The sequence below is a fragment of the Homo sapiens genome, chromosome 2 (assembly GCF_000001405.40).
Source record: "Homo sapiens chromosome 2, GRCh38.p14 Primary Assembly".
In the NCBI taxonomy this organism is placed as follows: Eukaryota; Metazoa; Chordata; class Mammalia; order Primates; family Hominidae; genus Homo; species Homo sapiens.
Genome location: NC_000002.12, coordinates 188,477,336 through 188,499,783, shown reverse-complemented (window position 1 = coordinate 188,499,783; position 22,448 = coordinate 188,477,336). Strand labels below are relative to the sequence as shown.

The window sequence follows — 22,448 nt, the reverse complement described above, 5'->3', positions numbered from 1 at the left end:
GTAAATAGGTAGACTATATATTCCTCTACTCTTATATTTCTGAAACTAGAGAAGACAGAGTAAAAAAGAAAAACATTACATTTCAAATAATTTAAGATTTGAAAAGAACATTACCTGCATAGAAGACCAGGTTTTACTTTTTACATGGTGTGACCTTATACAAGTAATTTATGCACTTGGAGGTTGTATTCCAATTATAACATGTAATAAGTTCTGACTACTTCCCTGGAATGTAAAAGCATAAATATATGTAAGGTAGTAATATTTAGCAGAGACATGACACTTTGCAAAGGTATAGAGGCCACTACTCTAAATGACATATGTAATTTCTGTAGTTTTCAGGAGATGAGTTTTTCATGTTTGTGATGACTTTTTAGACATTTTACCATGAGGCAGGATGAGGTGGATGCACAATATAATAATGATGATCTTTGCTATTAAGTATTTGAAAGGAATTTGCTTAGTATTCAGAAAAAAAAATCCAGGCTTTTCTTTTCTCAGGTTTCAAGAGAATTGCTTATGTGAAAGATGCTTTGTCAACATGAAGACAGCTAGATTTAAAAGTTGTTACCATTTACTCCCCAGTCTGTAAGATACAGTAAATGCAGAGTTCATATATATATATATATATATATATATATATATATACACACACATATATGTGCATTTGTATATGTATATATATAATATGTATACACACACAGCACATACATTTATGAATTTAATTTCAATAAATTCTAACTTCAGACATTGATTAAAATCCTTGGATAAAAGAGAAACTGGAAAAAAAGGAAGAGAATGTCTAATTTGACTCCACATGGTATAAACAAGTCATAATGAAATTCCCACTGCAAACTCCTTCTCCACGTAAAGCCAGATTTCACCTGATCTTGTGTAAGTTTATTTCTTTAGAAAAATATTATTTAATTTACAAATAATAATTGTACATATTCATGGAGTACATAGTGATGCTTTGAATATAGTGATCAGATCAGGGTAATTTGCATATCCATCATGTCAAACACTTTTCATTTCTTTGTGTTGGGAACATTCAATATCCTCCTTCTAGCTATTTGAAACTACATAATATATTATTTTTATTTATAGTCATCCTACAGTGCTATAGAACATTTGATGCCTTTCTTAATTGAGAGAACATCTTTTCCTTTGAGGATAGTGAAACTTGAAAACAATAATTTGTTCTAACATAAGTGCACAGCATGAAACATTTTAAAACATTTTTTGGTTTATTTTCCTATTTATAACTGATTCTGACAGGAATTGTTAGAGCTCTTAAAATTCATCTTTTAATTGTTTAGTGTTTATTGAATGATCACAAAAAGACTATGCTCTATATTTTGGGCTTTTTAATTATTTCTTGGATATTTCTAACCCAGATGTTCTATAGAATCTAAAATTCAACATCTAGAACTAAGAGGTATCTCTGACCCAGTACCTCATTATCCCCTATCTCAGGTTCAAGTCTGTCACCCAGAAATGCAACTGAAGTAGTGTTGTGTTAATTCTTTATCTATTTTACTTACATACACTCCAGCTACACTGAACCGGTAAACTTTCTAATTTAGTGTCAAGTTCTGGTATGTCTCTGGGATGCTGAGTATACTGTTACCTCTGATTATAATGGCCACCTCACCTGAAACACTAAGATAATTTCTACTGGCTCTTTAGGAAATCTTTCTTCATCCTTCCCAAGGATGCTCCTTAGTATAAGTCAAGGTGCCAATGTGTGTGAGATAGTAAGCCAGCTATATGGATATCTCTGGAATGTGTGGAAATCTAGCATTAATCCTTGGCCAGGGTAAGAACAAAGTCTTCTGAAACCACAATTCCTCCCCCATATGCTGTTGGTTCATAATCTAGAGATGGCTTCTGTGTGACTAACAAAGGACCCTAGAGAGCTGTGCCTTGAAGCATCTCAGATTCCTCATGTTTTTGTGTATTCTTTTGTATACCATAACATTTTCTTTGCCTTTATTAAAGCCTTGCATGAGATCCAAAGGGTCTGTCTGTTCTTTCGACTATCAGCTTTGTGTAATCTCTGTAGTGGGTTTCTTCCATGAGACTGTGGGACACACATTTTCTACACCTGGAGTCTGCACCTAGTATATGCTGAAGAAAAATAGTAAAATATTCATCTCTTTTGCTGATCAGTTATTCTGAGATTGCAAACTTGCCTCTTAGAACTTGTTTAAAAGATTGTTAATTTATACCCTTAAAAAAAGCAAACATACTCACTATAGATAAACACGTCATCTCATTATAAGGTATTTCATGGTGAAACAGACAACAAAGTCATTTTAAGTTATAATAGTCCATTATCTTTATCTAAAAATATTTCCATTTTATATTGGTGGTCATAGAAACACACTGCACCCACTTAGTCAATTAATGTCCTGTTGTTTGGACCATTTACTATAATGTTATGCATGTCTGCATTCTTTGCAATTTTTAGTATGCTGGAAAACATACAGAAGAACATTACTTATGAAATTTACTAAATAAATAACATAATATTCATTTGTTAATTTATTACAAAAGTTCAAGCTAAAGATGTGCAAGTAATGCTGACACAATGCTAGCAGGACTGCATTTTGTATCAGAATTCTGCTATACGTTTTTTCTTCATCTTAATTACTTTTTCAAAAACGGGCAGATAACTCATTGATTACTGTTAGTCTGTTCTCGCACTGCTATAAAGAAATACCTGAGAATGGGTAACTGATAAATAATAGAGGTTTAATTGGCTCACAGTTCTGCAGGCTGTACAGGAAGCATGGCTGGAGAGACCTCAGGAAACTTTCCAATATGGTGAAAGGCGAAAGGGAAGCAGGAACATCTTACATGGCCAGAGCAGGGGGAAGATAAAGGAGTGGGAGGTGCTACACACTTTTAAACAACCAGATCTTGCCATAACTCACTCTCGCCAGGACAACATCAAGGCGGATGGTGTTAAACCATGAGAAACCACCCCCCATGATCTAATAACCTCCCATCAGGCTTCACCTCCAACACTGGGGATTACAATTGGACATGAGATTGGGGTAGGGACACAAATCCAAACCATATCAATTATAATGTCTGTTTTACTCCTTTAACTTGCTATGTCCACACTCACACACAAGCATATAAAACCATCTGTAAAATTCTAAGTTCATTGCTTAAATTTTAAAGGTTTTTTTCTCACTCTACACTCTAAAAATAATTATTTTTATTGACATGTTTCTTCTGGCAACGCTTGAGCATATTTAATCTTGCTCATTTTTTCCCCAGAAGTTTCTGAAGAATATTTTTTAGTTTGAATATCTGCAAATAAAAATAGGTTATTTCCTGGTAAAGCTTGCTGCTTTGTTTTTATTCCATCATCTCCTCGCCAAATGTTTGTGTGAGCAAGCCTAGAGCAATACCATTCTAATGAGCAATAAAAACAGACATGTAACCAAGAAAGTGGTGTGGCATTTCTTGGAAATAAATGCAAACTCTGGGGGAACTAGAAAGCTAGTTTTAATTATTTAGGATTATAGCTAGGGATCAACTAAAAGCTGGTCAAGCCCTTTCATTGCTTACTTTGATGCTCAAGATACTATCGCTTATCTGAACCTGCAGAATCTGGGGTGAGGTGACTCATGCTTCTCTGAATCTAAATCTCCTAGGAAGCAATTAGCCATTGCTGCCATGCTTATCATCATTAGTGGGTAATTCTGTCACAGATAAAATCTGCTTGGGAGACAGGGCAGGAAGAGAGGGGGATTGTGCAAATCTATTCAATTTGGTTCTACAATTTCATAATGTTGAATTTTGAAATGGTCATGTTATTAAAATATGCAAGGAATCAGGGACTAACCTCCTAATAAATGTGCTATATTCTAAAAAATCCCATCTGTAAGATAGTTGTTTGAAATCACGGAAGCTTTTTTTTCCGTGTAATAAAGGTATATCAAATCTTTGTTAAATCTTGGTATACTTGAAAAAGAAAAAAGAGAATAACTAACATTTAATGAGCACCAACCATGTGCTAGGCACTGTACAGATTTTTTTTATTTAATGTCCCAAAAGCTCTATAAAGAAGGTATTATTTGCATTTTAGATGTGTGAAAACTGAGTTAAATACTAGGCTTGCCATTAAGTTGTAGTGTCCACTTTTAATTCATTTCGATGAGGCTCCAAAGTCCATGTTTTTTTGCTTATAGTACACAGCCTTCCCAGTTCTAAACTGTTGGTCCTTTTGCAGTAATAGCATAATACCCCTTAATCACTATTATTTGTTTGGATAAGTGAGTTTGTTGTTATATTTTGAAGAACATGGGACTAATTTTCTATCCACTTCTCCTGGTGGCCTTGACAACGCAGTGGAGGACTTCACTTTCTGGCTTCAAGGCATTACAGGTGTTTGCTAAGACTTAAATTAGAGTGGAACTGGTAAAGTAGGGTGATGGGGTTGGGGCCTGGGAAGGCCCAGAAGAGGGCATATATGTAGGTATAGTCTAGGTATTGGGTATAGAATTGTGTTGCATGAACAGTCTGGTCTGGCTTGAGTTCCCTCTTTACATTTCCTCAGATGGACCCATTAATTGACCAAATCTCCACAGTAACTGGTGAAAGTAAGGTATTAGTCATAGTGTTAGGGGCAGAGATATAATGATGAACAAGATCTGGCCTTACCTCCCAAGATCCTTTGATCTAGTGAAAGCATACATACTGACAACTAAATAAGCAATTTACAAAATAGGATTAGAAGAATTAGGACAGGGTGGTTAAGCACAGGATACCACAAAAACCCTTGAGTCAGTGATTTAGTTGAGAGGACTGTGGTATCAGGTAAGTCTTCCAGGAGGAACAAGCTAAGCAGAGCATTGACATTTAGCAAGGAAGTATAGTGGAGTCTGTGTATGTTCAAGGTAAAGACAGAGCCCCTGAGGAGAGCAAGAGTGGAAAGAGATTGTGAGAAAAAACAAAGGAGCACATAGAAAAAAAAGAACATATAAGAGAGATGAAGCTTGAGAAGACAAACCAAAAGTCACGCTAAGGAGAGAGGAATAGATTATGAGAAAAATGTGATGCTACTTAAAGATATTCAGGTTGGAAGATAAAATGACTAGATTTTCATTTAAAAATGCTCGCTCCTCTTTTGGAGCAGCATCGGAACTGGAAGAAGAGGAGGTCCACCTGATGGGTGGACACTACTGTACGGGTCTGTGTGTGAGACAGATGACGGTGGCCTATAGCAGTTGACACCAAGTGTTGCATGCCAGATAAATATAGACATTGAGAGTCAGCATTTACCAATTGTTATAGCATTTTGACAAAGGAGGCATCCTTTTGAATATATATATTACTATAAGATTTTTGAAAAATATGAGTCTGTGATAGATTAGGGAAAAAATCCGCTGTTTCATCATAGACATTAGGAGAAGCACTGACTGACACCAGGTGGACAGTAGTAGCTATGTGGAGAAATACACATATTCAAGAGGTTTTGAAACAAACAAGAAGTCTGAATGTTTAATGAGATGTAGATGGTAAGGGAGGGGAACACTGGTCACAGCTGATACCTGTGGAAGAGTGTTTTTTTAATGGTATTTGTATCTATAACATCCTTTCTCCTTTCTTCCAGTAACTGGCTTGGCTTTCCTTTAGGGACCTACTCTTTCTCCACAATCAGTCCTTGTTGTCTGGGAATGCATTATGTCACATGGGTTAAGTCAATGAGTTCATCATTCACTGGCTGGCATGAACACATTATCCAGAGACTGGCTAAGAAGGGCACATGATCCATATCAAACCTACAAGGGTCAGCAAGATTCTATTCAGGAAGGTGAGTTTGAGTTATTAGAGAAGTAGATCTGAGAGTTGTCATGTAAATCTGACTCTACCAGGGGCCAGTAGGAAGAGTCTGAGAACTGACGCAACCCAATGAAAACTGAAGGAGAGTTTATCAAATGAGCCCTGAATCAAGTTGGCCTAGAGACAGCCCTCCCTGTGAGGTGTTCTTTTATGTAAACCAATGTATTCCCTTTCTTGCTGAAGCCAGATTGAGTTAGTGTCACCGGAAACCAACAGTTCTTAGTGGTGTTTCTGGCTCAGATAGAGGAGGATAAGGTTATTGAAGACTCTCATAAGCCTGATTGGGGATTTGTCCTTATGTTATATTAAAGTCTTTTAAAAGTTATGTGTCTGCTAGACAAATGTTTGGGTCTGGAGTTTAGGGGTGACATTTAGGCAGGAAAGTCATCAAGAGATGGATGGTGATTTAAGTTGTGGGTGTAAAAGAGACTTCCCAAGGGGAGTAGAAAAAAGAAGAAAATGTTCTAACGATAGAACCCAGAGGAACAATGGAACAGGACAATCAGCATTAAAACATATCAATTATATAACTAAAATGTAAGGATAAAAAATGAAGTCTCAGGCATCGAAGAAAAAGTAAGACCCCTTCAAGGAGGGAAATTGGGATGGATTCAGATTTTTTTCTACAGGAGAATAAAGGAAGACTGTGCAACAATGACTAATGTTCTGAGGCAAAGAAAGATCCAAACATAAAGATGTCCTAGATATTCTCAAGTTTGAAATACCCTACAAAACTTCCAAGTCGTTGGGTCATTTTTAGAAAAACATCTTGAGGAGGAAAACTGAAATTTATAAACATAGGTCTCGTAAATAGAGAAGAAGAAATAGTAAATAAAGTGTTTGGTTATCTGAATGCATTTCAATATGTAATTTAGATTAAACTGCTATGGAAATCATAATTTCAGAACAAAATGTAAACGTTGCAAATCCTGGCAAGTAAGACTAAAATAAGAAACAAAAACTGGGGTGGACTATGCTACCAGGCAGAAATTTAAGTCAGCTATTCACTTCATCATTCATGTATGATATGCATTACTGTCAAAATTTGAAATGTGCTATTAAGGAAAAACACGATGATGCCAAACACTTAATGACTTTCATAATCATCTTCTTGAACCTTAAAACAACCTTTTAGGAACTAATATCGCTTTTGGCAAAGAGATAGATATATAAAAAATTTGGTAACACCTTCAATTCACTTCACTTTTTTTTCTTCTGTTAAAGTTCAACGTTATTTTAAAATAGTATCCATGCTATAATTTCTTTTTTTTTAAAGTTAATTCTTCCTATGAATCTATCCATTCATCCCCAGCATCACTTTCCTTACTTACAGTTTCATGTTATTGTTTAGCTGTTAAATGGGACGTATAAATAGTCCAATCTCACTGGGCTTTTCTAAGGATTAAATGAGATGACAGATGTGAAATGCTTAGAAAATTATTGGTGGAGTCTTGTTTATATGTTAAATGCTATTTTTTTAAATCAGTATTTCCATTCTTGCACTTGTATTTATGCAAAGAAATGCCTGGAATACTGTTAACCAAAAGTCTATACTGGGTTATTTCTGCCTGATAGAGTTTGAGCAATGTGTTTAATTCTGTGCTTAACTGTACTGCTTAAATTTTAATAATTAGCACATATTGTGTTTTCAAAATAAAAGTTATTGTTCTTAAATATATAACACTTTGAAGACCTAATAATGTAAACAGTTGATTTTTCATTGTGTTATCCTGTGTTTTCCATACTTGGAGATACATTTTTCCTCAGATTTTGCTTGTATGAATTACACCATATCCCAGCAACCTCTTTGTACTGCTTTGCGATCACATCTGTGCAAGATATTGAAAGAGGAGGTGTTTTAATACTATCTGATATACTATCTGGAGTCTATGTTTACGTTTATGAAAATGATTTAAAGGTTTAGAAAAATAAACCACTTAGTTCTAGCAAAAAGGAAAAAAAATAGATGATACACACTTTTCTGGAAACTGAAGAAATAAGTGCACAACAGGAGACTATTCTTAAATGTAAAAATATGCATAACAGCTCTGGAAATGAAGTTTCCTGTAGTTCAAAATACTACAAGAAAGACAAACATGACTTTATTTTGATGTAAAATATGTGAATTTATGTATATGTTGCCTAAGGGCTGAGACATTATTTCCTTTAAAATGTCTCTTAAAATGAAAGAATGTCATGAATAGAAATCTTAGTTTGTCTTCTGAAGAGATTTAGTGTCTCTAGAGTGTGCTGGCCACCTGCCTCATCTTAGACCTTTTGAATGAAATGACAAAGAGTGAATCTGGAGGCAAATTGCTTTCACCTACCATTTTCCTAATCAATATTTGAAAAGCAACCACATAATCCATTGATAACATCAATTTCTGTGTTCACATCTAAATTATTTCCAAAATCTTGGTGTTTTCTGCCACATTTTACTTCTCTTAACAATCCTTTCCTCTTCATTCTCATTTCTCCTACGTTCTCTGTTAAGAAAACAAAAACAAAACAAAAAAAACATGCTCACCTGTTTGCTAATTTTCTTTTATGCTGATTTTAGTCACTTATATGCTGATTTTAGTGGCTCATCAAAACACCATTACTGAAATGGTATTGATAAAAACATTAAATGTTTTTTACTTTTTGGAAACATGTTTTTTTTTCCTCCAAAACTGTAATCTCTACTTTTCCTTTCTGCTCAGATCCTTAAGTCTCACAGTCCAGTCTTCAGAATGCTATTGCTTGACCCTTTTGAGACCAAATCAGTCCTTTCTTTTCTTTCTTTACATTCTCTAGCTATGAACAAGCTTTTTAAAATTATTTCGGCTAGGCATGGTGGCTCATCCCTGTAATCCCAGCACTTTGGGAGGTCAAGTTGGGTGGATCGCTTGAGCTCAGGAGTTCAAGACCAGCAATAAGCAACGTGGCGAAACCCCATCTCTACAAACAAATTAGCCAGGCATGGTGGTGCAGGCCTGTAGTCCCAGCTACTCAGGAGGCTGAAGTATGAGGATCACCTGAGCCCAGGAGGCAGAGGTTGCAGTGAACTAAAATTGTGCCACTGCATTTCAGCCTGGGTGACACAGTAAGACCCTCTCTGAAAAATAAAATAAAAATTATTTCATCTAGGGCCAAACACATCGATGCAGAAATATGAAATAAATGATAAATATGTTCAACTTTCAGAAAATGTCCTATGTATCACTAGATGCTCTGAAGGTGAAGAAGCATTTAAGGACATAGATAACACCAAAGCATTTTTATCCAGGAATTATGTTAATAAAAATATCATTAAGCAAAGCAGAAGAAAGAAAGATGCAATACTTCATGGAAGCTTAGACATGTGGCCCCTGTGTTAGGGAGGCTAATACATAGACTTTACTTAGTCTACTTAGCTCACTCACATCTCTGCCAAACCCCTGCCTACTTTAAAATGATGTCCAGAGAATCATTTAACAGACAGGGGCAGGGTTCCACAGATGAAGCAATTTCACATACAACATATACAAGTGGCAGACACATATACATATTTTACTTGTCTTTAGGTCTTTCATCTGCTGGTTAAGTACTCTCCAAAATTAGGAACAGTATATCGCAATAAATAGACAAACGGATGTTGAACAGGATCGGATACTTCATTCAACACCTAATTTTGCTACTATCTTCCTGTGTAAGCTTAAACAAATCACAACTTCTCTGGGTCTTGAATGACCTTATCAAGAAAATAACCGAGTTTGAATAATGAATACTAAAGTCCTTTTCAAAACTGTCTTTGAATCCATAACACATATACTGCCTTTTTTAAAAAAATAAAATGATACTATAGTAAATACTGAAATGTAATGAGTACTAATAAAAGTTTTTAGTTCCTATTCAATAATTTCTAGCAGCTATATAACACTTGTTAGAGTACTCTCAGATGTAGAATTATAGTTTGTAATGATGACAACCTTCAGAATTAACTGAAAGTTTATCTCAAGAATCCAGAAGCCATGCAATGTTAGGTATTTATTGCCATTTCCTTTTCTCCATTTGTTCTTGTATTTTGTAAGCACATACTAGCTATTAATACAAATCACAATTGAATAAAATTCCAGTTATTACTACACTTTTATTTGCTTTCATATTTTTTGGCATAAAAAACACCATATAGTTTCCCACTGTAGAGAGGACAAGGGAAAGGTAACATTTTACAGATTTCTAATTTCCTTTTAAACACGTGTCAGTATTACTTTGGCACATAAAGCAAAAATTCCAAGTGATAACAGATCCCAAATTATCAATACATATTATAGTATATATTATTTGTTTAATTAGAAAAATGATGGTTAAGCTTCAATTTATATGCTCATTCTTTAATTTTAAAATGTTTGGAATGAATATAAATGATATATATTAGCATTATTAAAGACCAGTTCTAAAATCTAATAAAATGTTTTTTAAAGGTCATGTAACACCAAATTTTAAAGTGGTTCCTATGCTTTGAAATTAAAGACTCATTTTCGGATAAATGATATGGATTATCTGGAAATGCAATTGAGCTCTTTACGTTTCTTATATTTCCCCTGGTTTCTACAACCAGCAAAACTGGCAAGTGCTTATGTTTGCTGCTTGTATAAAACTGCTCTAAAGAATCTCATGAAATTGCAATTCAAAACCATTTGGGATGTTTCAACAAGGCATCTCATCGATTACAGAGGTGTACCTTTTGCCCAACTTTCAACGATTCCAAAGAGTTGAATCTGAAGATTTTTCTTTCATTTCCTTTTTTTGACACACTAATAGATGTCATTTATTTCTAAAACCTGAATTTTTTTCAATTAGGTCATATACCAATCTTAATATTTCATTGAAGGGTAATTTATCATATGTTCTCAAAAAACAATTTAAAGAGCATTAGTAAAATTATTTTTTTTTATATTAAGACCCGTCTTTACTATGACTCATTAAGCCAAATAATGTTGTAACTTTCTCTCTTCATTAACTGATTACTTGTAAAACTCCCTAATGGTTTCAAAAGGTTTACAAGGACTACCTTATCTTTCTATATTTGATTTTAAGACCAGGACAATCTTTGCATTAATATTTTGTTCCAGAATGCTGTTACCTCAAAGTATCTCCTATTACTTCAAGGTAATAGGAAAGTATAATCACAACAGTATTATTCTTTAATGATCAAAGCATTCTCTTGCATATAATTCCACCAAGGTGGCCGTATTGAGTCTCCTGTTGTGCTTCAGGAAAAAGCATTCCTTCCCCATAGAACCTTTCAGAGTGGTCACTGCAAGTACTTCAGTTGATGCAAACAGAAAAAATAAAATACCTGATACACATTCTAAGTAGTTCATTCTCTGTTTTTCAATGCTACATTATTCTCAAGAGATAGTAATGACTAGTGTCAACTCCAGAGTTGACAGAACACTTTCTATAACAACTATATTAATAACAATAAACTTTTGTCATACCAAACACTGATCTAAGTTTTAAAAAAATATATTAACTCACTTAAATCTCCTAACAAACCAGTTTGATATTTGTAGTTATTAATCTCATTTACAAGTAAAAAAACTCAAGGACAGAAAAGTTACATAATTCTGATAACAGTTGAGAGAGGAGAAGTTTGAACCCAAATAGTTTGACCCAGAAATGGCTGCTCTAATTACTGTAATAGGATGCAGCAACTATATGGCTATAAAATTCTGGTAGAATCAGTGGAGTTGTTGGTATAGAGCTTACTCTTGAGGGGTGCATCTGAGCATGTCAGATACGTAGGTTCTGATTTTTCTAGGATTACTATTGGGCAGGTTTAGTTAAAAGTTTGAAACATAAGTGTCCAACGTGGTTTTCAACCAACTAAGGGTTAGAATCCTCAAGTTCTAATATCTTACTGTCACATCTGATATTACATATTTTGTGTGTGGAGGGGATGAAGGCAGTGTTTTTGTTCTTTGTCATTTTGTTTGTATTTTGAACCCAAATAAAGGCTCATAGGTAATTTTTTTGTTGGCAAATTTAGGTTGTAAAGATGAGAAAGCCACACTAGAAACCACACAACTCACTGGGCCAGCAAGCCTTCTCTCTGATTAAACAAACGAAGTGGCAAACAGTGCACGTGTCATATGTAAAACTCTGACACCTCTAGAAAACTTTGAAATGTAAGGTAATCTTTCTTTGTAAACCTCTCCTTGACATTTGTATTTTATTTTGTTGTTGATTAGCTATGTAGTTTTCTCACTTGTAAAACTCCCTGACATGGTTTTGAAAGGGTTTGCAAGGAATGCGTTATATTTCTATATTTGATTTTAAGATGTTCCATAGTTTAGAAGATAACGACATGATGTTGGTTATCATTATGTACTTTTCTTCCAAAATTCTTTCTATGTTTCATATGACTGTTTCCTCTCCACAGGGACGTCATAAGTTTTTAAGGTGAAGGTCCGTGTTACTATTTGTTTTACATTTGCTCACTTTTAGAGCTTGGAACACAGTAGACAGATAATCAAGGAATACTCACTCTCTTTACTGCTGCCTCATGCAAAGTAAGGTAGTAATCTCTTTATAACTTCATTCTTAAACATCCTTGCATTTTTGTATATCTTAAAGATAGATTTTTCATAAAAGGATAAATACATTAAACTTTTTGGGGGATAATTATACATTTTAGAATAAAACATTCAATAAAAAAAGTTTCAATGAAACATTTGTCACAATTCTTCATCTAGGAAATGACTGTCTCACTCTAACAGAAAAATAAATTGATTAAAATACAAGTCTGCCAGCATTTTATCTTTATAGAAAAGAGAGTTTAGCATTCTCATAAAAAATTGAAGGGAACAGAATTTTTTAAATTTCTGCATTAACATTCTAATTATAGTAGCAATAGAATCTAATACCTAATCTATTGATTCTGTCAACTTTACTTTCAAAATACATCCAAATTCTCAGTACTCTTCTCCTCTAGCTCCTACTCAGCTTGAACTGCAATCACCTTTTTTGCCCTTGCTACCCATCTCTAAATATATGTCCCTATGACCTACTACCTGATTTCATGACCACATTTTTTCATAGGTAATAACCTTTAGCTTGGAAACATCACTACAGAGTACACAGGATAATATAAAAGATTCCCAATGAACTAATATTAATGCTGTCACTGCACATTAAAGAAAACTCCAAAACTAATGAACCCTACATAGAACAATGCTTATTTTAAACCATTTATTATTTTATATCGACAAATGATCTCAAATCATTACACTATGAATATTAAATGTGAATTTTTGAAATCAATGTTCCATAAATTGAAAGAATGTAGAAATAAAATGTGTTCTAAAAAAGAATTATAAAATAAAACAGAACACTAATGCTTTAAAACTGAAGACATTTAAACATAAATGTTATTACATATTTCTCCAGGGAGAATAATAATTCTTAAGTAGTTCTGTTAAATTTATCAGATTAATTTGTAACCAGTGGATGCCAAAAGTGAGTGAAGTAGTAGGAATCTTTTAATGGTATGATGAGTCTCTCTTTTAGCCAGGATGAAAATAGATATTTTTTCTTATTCTCTACTTATATACCATTCCTATTTTATATCAATTCTTCCTCTGGAATATTAAGCACATCTTTATTTTCCACTGCAAATTTATCTACTACCCTATGGTAAACTTATTACCACATACTTGGACCATTAAAATAACTTCCTAAGAGGTTTAATGTCATTCTAACACTCTTGATTCAAACTGACTTTTTTATCACTACCGATTTATCTTCCTAAAATCCTGTTGGATTCATTTACAATCCAAACTGTTGCTTTTGCCATTCAAAGCCTTCCCAATTTGCCTTTTTAACCTTGTCCATCATTAATACTTGTATGAGATCAGTTTTATGTGTCAACTTGGCTAAGTTATAGTGCCCAGTTATTCAATCAAATTCTAATCTAGGTGTTGCTGTAAAGTTATTTCATAGATACGATTAACATCTCTAATCAGTTCACTTTATGTAAAGATTATCCTGGATAATCTGGATGAGCCAGATCCAGTGAATTGAATGGCTCTAAGAACAGAACTGAGGGACAGAACTGATGGTTGCCTGAGAAAAAAATTCCACTCTTTCAGACACTGTTGTAGCACTAACTTCCTTATGTCTATAACAACTCAAGTGAGAAATTACTATTGTTACTATCCCTATTTACTGATGAGTAATCACAGACATAGAAAGGTTAAGCAATTTTCCCAAAGGCATACAGTAAATAAGTGTTGGAGTCATGATATAAACCAAGGAATCTAGCTCTAGAGTCTGTATTTTTTTTTCTATTGTGCCAAGCTACTTTCTGTGGTCAAGGATTTGGTTTTCAAGTGGCATATTCTATAACAAGAGATACAGGATATCTTAAAAAGTAACTCTACTATGAGGTCATCCTAATAAGTGCCACAAACAAAGGACTTCAGAAAAAAACTAACATTCTTCAAATGAATTTAATGCTACTTGGTACACATACAATATATATTATCACTCATGAGGCCATATTATAGTAGACAAAATCATCCTGCCCTTCCATATTTTACTGTTCCCAGTCTGGGAAGATGTTTTTGCACCCTCTACTTCCTGTAGAATGTCTTAAAATTGTTATGCACCTGTGAATTGGCACTGGCAACTTTTCCATGTAGACAAGCAGAATGATTGGCGGAGTTAAAGGTAGATCTAATTATAATATAACCTTTTAATCTTTTATAAAGCTGTTTTTCAAAATGAGGCATATCAGTCACATAAAAATATTAATGGTTTCAACTGGAGCATATAATTCCACTATGATTGATAATATAAAAAATTGAGCATGCATTTTAAAATCATAGCAGCTTTCCAGATTAAAATTTTTTCAGTATAGATTTCATATAGTATACCAATAGCTAATACAAACAATATCTGTGGAAATGATGGATAACATAAACAATTTTTCTCATTCAGTTAACTAAACTTTTCATGCTAAATTAGGGCAATCAGCCTTTATGTTAAGTTTATAGAAAAATTCATAAGCACTGCAGTGATTTCAAGTATAATATGTTTACACAGAAAATATTTCAGATTTCTTTGCTGGTAAGTCAGCAAGAAAAAAATAAGAGATGGTGCACTCTCCAAATTTCGCTGCTGAACAACAGCTCTGGAAGAACTTCTTCTACATAGGCTTTTAAATGTTTCTTCCTTCTGATTCAGACTTAGGTAAGAACTCTAGATGTTTCCTACCAAACACCGTTAATTTTCTCCTCAATAAACATTCTTTAATTTTTCCTGAAATAATTGCTATGCCTAATCTCACTGTATCCCAGTGTATACTTCACTAATCCATAAACGTTTAAGTTCTCTTATAAAGATATTATAGTTTTGTTTTCCCCTATTCTGTCTCCAAAGTTCAGTTGCTTTTAAATTTGACGCTAATATTTCCAATCCCCTCTTTAACTCATTTCTGACTCTTCGAAATTTTGACTCAGATCTCTCTGAAAACTATTACAAGTTTGGTGATAATTAACTACAAAATAGCACCTTTCTTTAAAGTCTCTGTTTTAAACTGAATTCACTCATTTTTTTCAACAACAAATGAAATCTTTAAAGACACAGAGCGTAGATTAATGTTTCCATTTCTCTATTAAAATGCAGCAACTTGAACAAAAGAATTTTTAAAAGGCACCTTTTTGTGTGCTTTTTAAAAATAATTTAGGCTGGGCAGAGTGGCTTCTACCTGTAATCCCAGCACTTTGGGGGGCTGAGGCAGGTGGACCACTTGAGGTCAGGAGTTCGAGACCAGCATGGGCAACACGGTGAAACCCCGTCTCTTCTAAAAAGCATGGTGGCACATGCCTGTAATTCCAGCTACTCCAGAGGCTGAAGTGGGAGAATCACTTGAACCCAGGAGATGGAGGTTGCAGAGAGCCAAGATCTCCCCAGTGCACTCCAGCCTGGCCTACAGAGCACATCTTCATCTCAATAAAATAAAATAAAATAAAAATTTAAACTTTGTTCCTTTTTTCTTGAATGATAATTACATTTATGAAAATTGCAGCTCATTTCTCTCATTTGCAGGTTTTTATATTTAGGTTGTATAATGTAACATTAATGTTTTTAAAGAAAGCTAATTTGTTAGTGGTTTGAGTTTCTACAAGCCATGATATTGCAAATGTTTTTAACAATAACAAAAATCACTTGAAGAAAACACGTTTGACTAAAACAGTAATTTTAAATAATACACTTTTAAAAAGAGAAACTATTCTACAGAGAAAAATAACTTCCCATGCCACAATTATTTTATTTATGTAAACTTTTTTCAGGAATCAATAACCAGGAAATGTCAATACATAAGCAATCTGAGATTAGCCATGAATTAGTAATGATACTATAACAAAATAAAATTAAATAATAAATGAACTATTTTTACCTTTGCATTATAGGGAATGAAATGTTTTGATAAAGCTTCAGGTGTATGCATCCATGTTTTGTCTGCAATAAAAAATACACAGAGTTAAATTTTAGGTTTCCATGGTGTCATATTCACGCATTACCATTTGTATGGTAATTTAGGACACAGAGTATTTCTAATTCTGAGATTCTTTGCCAAAATGACAAAGAATAACCACTCAGATAGAAGAACAATTTAGTTGGGGCGTGATTATAGGATTCTTTCTTTGGTATAAAAATCCCTAGCTTTTCTTTTTAAAGTTTTCAAATAATAAAAATGATACCAAATTTTAAAAGAACATATAAAAACCACATCAGTGGGCTATGAGTAATTGCATTCATTTGTGATTTAAAACAAGTATCTTTCTTCTTTCACTTTATGCTCTCATGAATTATAGGTTATTTTTCTTAATTCCTAGAACAATAAAATATAATCTGCTCTTTAACTCTTTGCAAATATTATATTGTAGCATCAAGATTTAGTTATTCTAAAGGGAAATTATCATATTATACTAACAACTGCATTTGTATGAAGCTGAAATTAACCAACTTACTGTGTTCATTTGGAAATCAATATAATATTATGATAAATCTTTATTCTAAATTTGAGGAAACACTGATTGAAGGTCTTCTCTCAGGAGTTTTGGATATAAATAGTCTCAAATGCAGTAAATCAAAATGTTTCTTAGATAAGTGTTAAAAATATTAGAAATAAAAGGATAGAATATATTAAAAGTAATTGTATTATATATTATTTATATCTTGTTATTTATATTTGTATTACTAATATTTTCAATTTAATTTTTGAACTTTATTAATATAGCCCACATATTTTCCCCAATATTTTGAGGAATGCATAATGGGGAGAAAAAAATGTTAACATTTACATGAAACAGATTGGCTTTTTTTGAATCTGCACTTATGTGGAGTAAGACTTCTCAATCTTCAATGATATTTTGCCTCCATTAGTGTAGTTTTGTACGTATCTTATTTTTCACGGGAGTTTAAAATTTGGAATCAGTATTATAAATAGAACAAAATCAAAGATTTATTTTACCATGAAACATACAAATACAAACTGGAAGGAAATATTGTATTACTAACAAAGTAGTTTCAACATTAAATTTGGATTTTTTTAAATGCTGTTAACAGAAACTAATTTGATACCCTTAATATGTTCTTCTTAAACTGGGTTAATGTGAAGACATAGAGAAAATGACACATATTTTTGGAATGTAAATTATTTTATACTATTTGAATAATAATGCACTGTATTCATATTAAATTTGTTTATGGGGTACAATGCAATATTCTCAAGTATTTCCAATACAAAAGATGAAGGGCCAAGAGAATTGGGTCTATTTCTGACTACTAGAGTGAATATATGATAGCCATACTTGGGTGAAATATTTTGAACAGCAATACATTCTAAGCTTCAAAAAATATTGACGTTGACATTTAATGTGTGAAATTTGTATTTTCTATAAGGATTGTCATCTTAGCTATACTTTTTGTGATTGCTAATGGATAGTAATATGATTAATTCAAGAATAATTTGCACTTAGATTTGGAATATAGTCTTGCTTTTATACATTAAAAGAAGTAAATCACAATACTTCTTCCAAGGCAATAAAACACAAAACAAGAAAAACACCTTTAGGAAAACTAAGATGTCCAATTTCTCCTTTTAACTCCTTCACTTAATTCTTTTCATGTCTCCTTTCCAAAACATACAACACATCTCAGGAGTATGTAAACGCTGACTAAACTCTCACTATGATGGGTCACACCAATCCTGAGGCAGAGAGGTATTAATAATTTCTTTCTCCTATAAACCACTATTACTTGAAAACTGATGAAAATGCCTCTGTTACAGACTCATATTGCAGCGACCTAAAAAGAGTATACCAAGCTGCTTCTGCTGACAGACTAAAATAATCACAATATTAAATTCCAGTGGATAAGCTGTAGCTCCTACAATGACAAAAATCTGCATCCATATTATCAAGCACTGATAATTTAGTGTTTGTTTATTACATATCCTCAGGTATGAGCAGTACATTTATAAAACCTGAAGGATTTCCAAAATGAGTTCTTACTGTCATCCTAATTTATACTTTGGCAAAAAAATGACAAAATAAAACTTTTTATATTAACTTATAGATAGGACTAAATCTTGAGTAGGAAATACACATGCTGGTCCTTGGTCACTATATGTGTTCATAGAAGGTATTAGATATATGAAAATGTGCAGAAATGGGAATATAGACATTCTAGAAAGAGTTCCTCTTCCTTGAATTAAAGTAAAATCACTAACTCAAAATTGAAGACTTACATGAAGGAAAATGCCAACATTTCAACATATTTGACAAATATCAATGTACTCTGATTGCTGGGTCAATAAATTTAGGTTTTCAAAATGCATCTAGATTAAGAACTCATCAGGAAATATAGAGTAAATTCATTATTTTTGTATCATCAGAGCTTACAATGGTGAAACACCTACTTTTGAGTACATTAAATTTAAAACTAAATGCTGGTTAATGAATAGATACATTTGAATAAAATGTTTGTTAAAAAAGAAAGTAACATTTAAATATTAAATTTTAAGTGCTGTGCATTTGATATCTACTCAATAGTATGTCAACTAAGTTTAAAAAAATGTAACTAGTTGAATTACTTAATCATTTATTCACATGTTATTTTTATACTTTTTTACTTAATGATTTATATTTGATGTAATAAATAGAATATAAAATTTTTTTAATTAAAAGAAAATTAACATTGGGAAAAAATCTAAAACAAAGACAATCACTAAAATTTCGTCTATGATTATATTAGACTAATTTTTAAAGATCTTTTCAAAAGAGCTCAAAATGATATGACTGTAATATATTCAGCACTCTTCAGAATCTCTGAGTAACTCTAACACCATTAGAGCATCTGCAAAGAAAATCAGTGAATTCAATCAAGAAATACAAACTTACTAATTTGGAGATTTAATTTAAAAAAAAAACACAATTATGTTTAGGTTTAAGATGGTCTTTTTTCCTTAGGCTTCTGAGGTCCTGGATCATTTAGTAAGATTACATGTGATGGCCAAGTATATTGGGTATCTATGAAATAAAGAGATAAGCTTTTACTGATAGAAGACCACCTTGCTTTGTTTAGGATACTGTACACAGGGTATGTTGATGGTAGTTTTGGAAACGTGACTTAAATAAAATATTCTCTAGTGATATAATTATAGCTTATGGCTCCAGCTTATCCAGATATACAAATTCTCTCAAACAATTTAAGTTTTTCATCTGAAATTAAAATTTAATGAAATAATGTTATTGATTGAAACCAGGAGCGGGGGCTCTTAAAATTTTTTCTTTAACAACTTCACCAAATGATAGAGTCAGGATTGACTGGTGAACTTAAGGGAAAATTTTCAGTTCAAGTTTTAACTTCAGGTTGGAGTAAAATATTAGTGAATAATTTCATGATACTAAATCATTAGACCTGAAAAATAAGAGAAGTCAAAAGAAATTCAAAGAGAATGAAGCAAATCAGGAAATAACAAGTGCTTCTGCTTCTTGATTCTCCAAATCACTCCACTATTCCTATGGTTGTACTCCCACTGTGTTCAAATAAGACAAATATACAATTACTGGTTACTCACATTACTATCCAACTCTTGGGATTTCTCAATGAAAAACCATTCTAAACCCCCTTCAAATAAACAGTAAATTACAGATGTGGAGTTTCAACTTTAAAGTGATAGGAAAGGAGGATTATAAGCATATATATATAAAAAGAAGGTCTAGAAGTATTTATTAAAAATAAGTTAGAGTGATTAAAGTGTTAAGTTGTGATGTAAGATTTCTATTACTTTATTAAACATACTTCAGATTGAGCACAGTGGCTCCCGCCTATAATCCCAACACTTTGGGAGGCCAAGGCAGGAGGATCACTTGATGCTTGGAGTTTGAGACCAGCCCTGGCAACGTAGCAAGATCCTATCTCTATATAAAACAAAACAAAAACTTCAATATATCATGTAATTATTTATAGATTTTGTTACTAGTAAAAATGAAAGAAACACTATTTTACTTTTGGTACCTGTTGTAAATCAGAAGCAGCTACAGACTATAATCAATGTCATTTTGCTTTCCCCTTATTCAGGAAAATTAAGTAAAATAATAAATTTCTAGCTTCCCAGAGTTGAAGAGTGCCTTAAAGGTCACATTATCTAAATTCTCACTGAATACATTAATCTTCTCTGCCACATCCAAATGTTTGAACACCTCTCACTTCAGAGACCAAAAAAAGCTAGTAATTTGAGTAATTTAATTAAACATTTACCTGACTTTCTTGGAATTCATTTTCCCTATATTAAATCAGTGACATTATCATTTACACCTATTTGTCCTTTACTAAACTCAACCCCATGGCTAAATGGCAGTCCTTCAAATATTGAAAGACAGCTCTCATTAACACATGAATGGTTCTCAGTCATGCTTCCTGTTACATGGCTGAAAGTCCTGAAGTCATCTCAGTCTTTCTCATCTGGGCACGTTACTATGTGTCAGTTAACACTGTAACCTTTTAAAGGGAGAACACCCAGTGCCCAACTGCCTGATACTGAACAGAACACTAGTCATAGTTCTGGACTATTCATTATCCATCCATACATTAGAAAATGACACAGAGCCTTTGATACTCACACTGTTGACTTTATTCTTCAGCCATTTTTACTCTGACAGCATTCAAGATGCATCTTCCAAATAACAGCAATATTTGAATCATGATAAAAGTATTAGATTTTCTGGGCCCTTGTTTGACAATTTGCAGTATCTTAGTAAGTTTATAGTGTGGAATAAGGCCTAACTTGTCATTTTTTCCTCACACATCTGTAATCCTACTACAGCATTCATGTATCATCACCTTCTTGCTTTCAATCACCTATGAATTTGATTATCATTATTTAAGCATTCTTCCCCAATTCATCAATAATGTAAAACAGGAGAGAGCCCCATGCTCTCCACTAGAGAACTCCTTTGAGAATGGAAAGGATACATTATTTAAACTTCACTGACCTACGCAAAGTTATATTTATTTTTCTATCTTTCTTTATAAGTGCATCATAAAATAGTTTGTCAAATGCCATGTTTTTCTGCCCATTAAAAAACAACATCTAACTAGCTGTTTCTTTCAGTCCTATAGTGATCACTATAATATACTACATTCGTAGTTATTTAAATTCCTACCTAAAAATTAATAACAAACTTATTGTGGCCTCATTGCTTTCAATCTATCTACTACCAATCCTCACATATTGTTCAATGATACATGAAGCCTGTGCACACACACACACACAATTATGAATGAATTTATGTTACCATAATCTTATGTAAGCCCAGGGAATTTAGTATTATATGGCTACATAAGCTAAAGTTAGGACAAAGTTTCAGATCATTTTATTCTTTGCAATTTCACAACAAGCTTCAAGTTGCCAGGCGACATATTATCACATATGTATTGTGAACTCAGTGTAATAAACAACTTTGATCTTTCACTAGGGTGATAACTAAGGAAAGCTAATTAGCAACGTTTGCAGATTTGTGTTGCTCTAATCTAACTTCATTTCTGGGCCAGGTGGTTTGACAACAAGAAAAACTGATTTCTTAACATCGCTGCTTATGTTCATAGCAACATTGGCTTGACTCCCAAGTTTTAAAAAATGACCACACTTACCTTTCTTCCTGCTAAAAGCACGGTTCATGATGAGGATCAGCCAAATAAATGTTCAGTTCCACGACTTAAATCCTGTAAAAGTGACAAAATATTAAAACATAAACAAAGGACTGTTGACTGACCTCTCTTTTGCTAATGTGGTTTTAATTATAAAGGCTTTTTAAATTTTTAAAAATATTTACAAACAATATTCTAAAATGCCTCAAAGGACATTGGGTAAGAAAAAACACAAGTACTTAATAACGTGAGTGGCACAAGCAGATAGGAATGTCTCACAGAAATTCCTCCCAAGTTCTTCAATTTTGTCTTTTTTCTATTATATATCCATCATTAACTATATTTATTTGCAAACTTAAGGAGAAGAAAGATCAATACTTTTTCCTCAGCTTGTTGAC

General features: G+C 32.9%; 1 protein-coding gene across 69 annotated transcripts in view; it reads right to left on the bottom strand.

Moving 5' to 3' along the window:
• GULP1 (GULP PTB domain containing engulfment adaptor 1) overlaps positions 1-22,448 on the bottom strand; it is a 304,053-nt gene that overhangs the window by 96,143 nt on the left and 185,462 nt on the right. For 65 of the 69 annotated variants that reach the window (NR_164744.1, NR_164745.1, NM_001375929.1 and 62 more), the window contains 2 exons: positions 22,054-22,125; positions 16,292-16,353 (listed from right to left, as the gene is read on the bottom strand). Coding sequence is in view for 67 of the 69 variants with exons in the window: in NM_001375929.1 (NP_001362858.1) it covers positions 16,292-16,353; positions 22,054-22,081 (90 nt within the window). In the remaining 2 variants the exon portion in view is untranslated. Of the gene's footprint in view, positions 1-114; positions 226-8,189; positions 8,349-16,291; positions 16,354-22,053; positions 22,126-22,448 lie in introns of those variants that run through there. The other 4 variants (NM_001375951.1, XM_047444694.1, XM_047444693.1 and 1 more) reach the window with 3 other exon arrangements.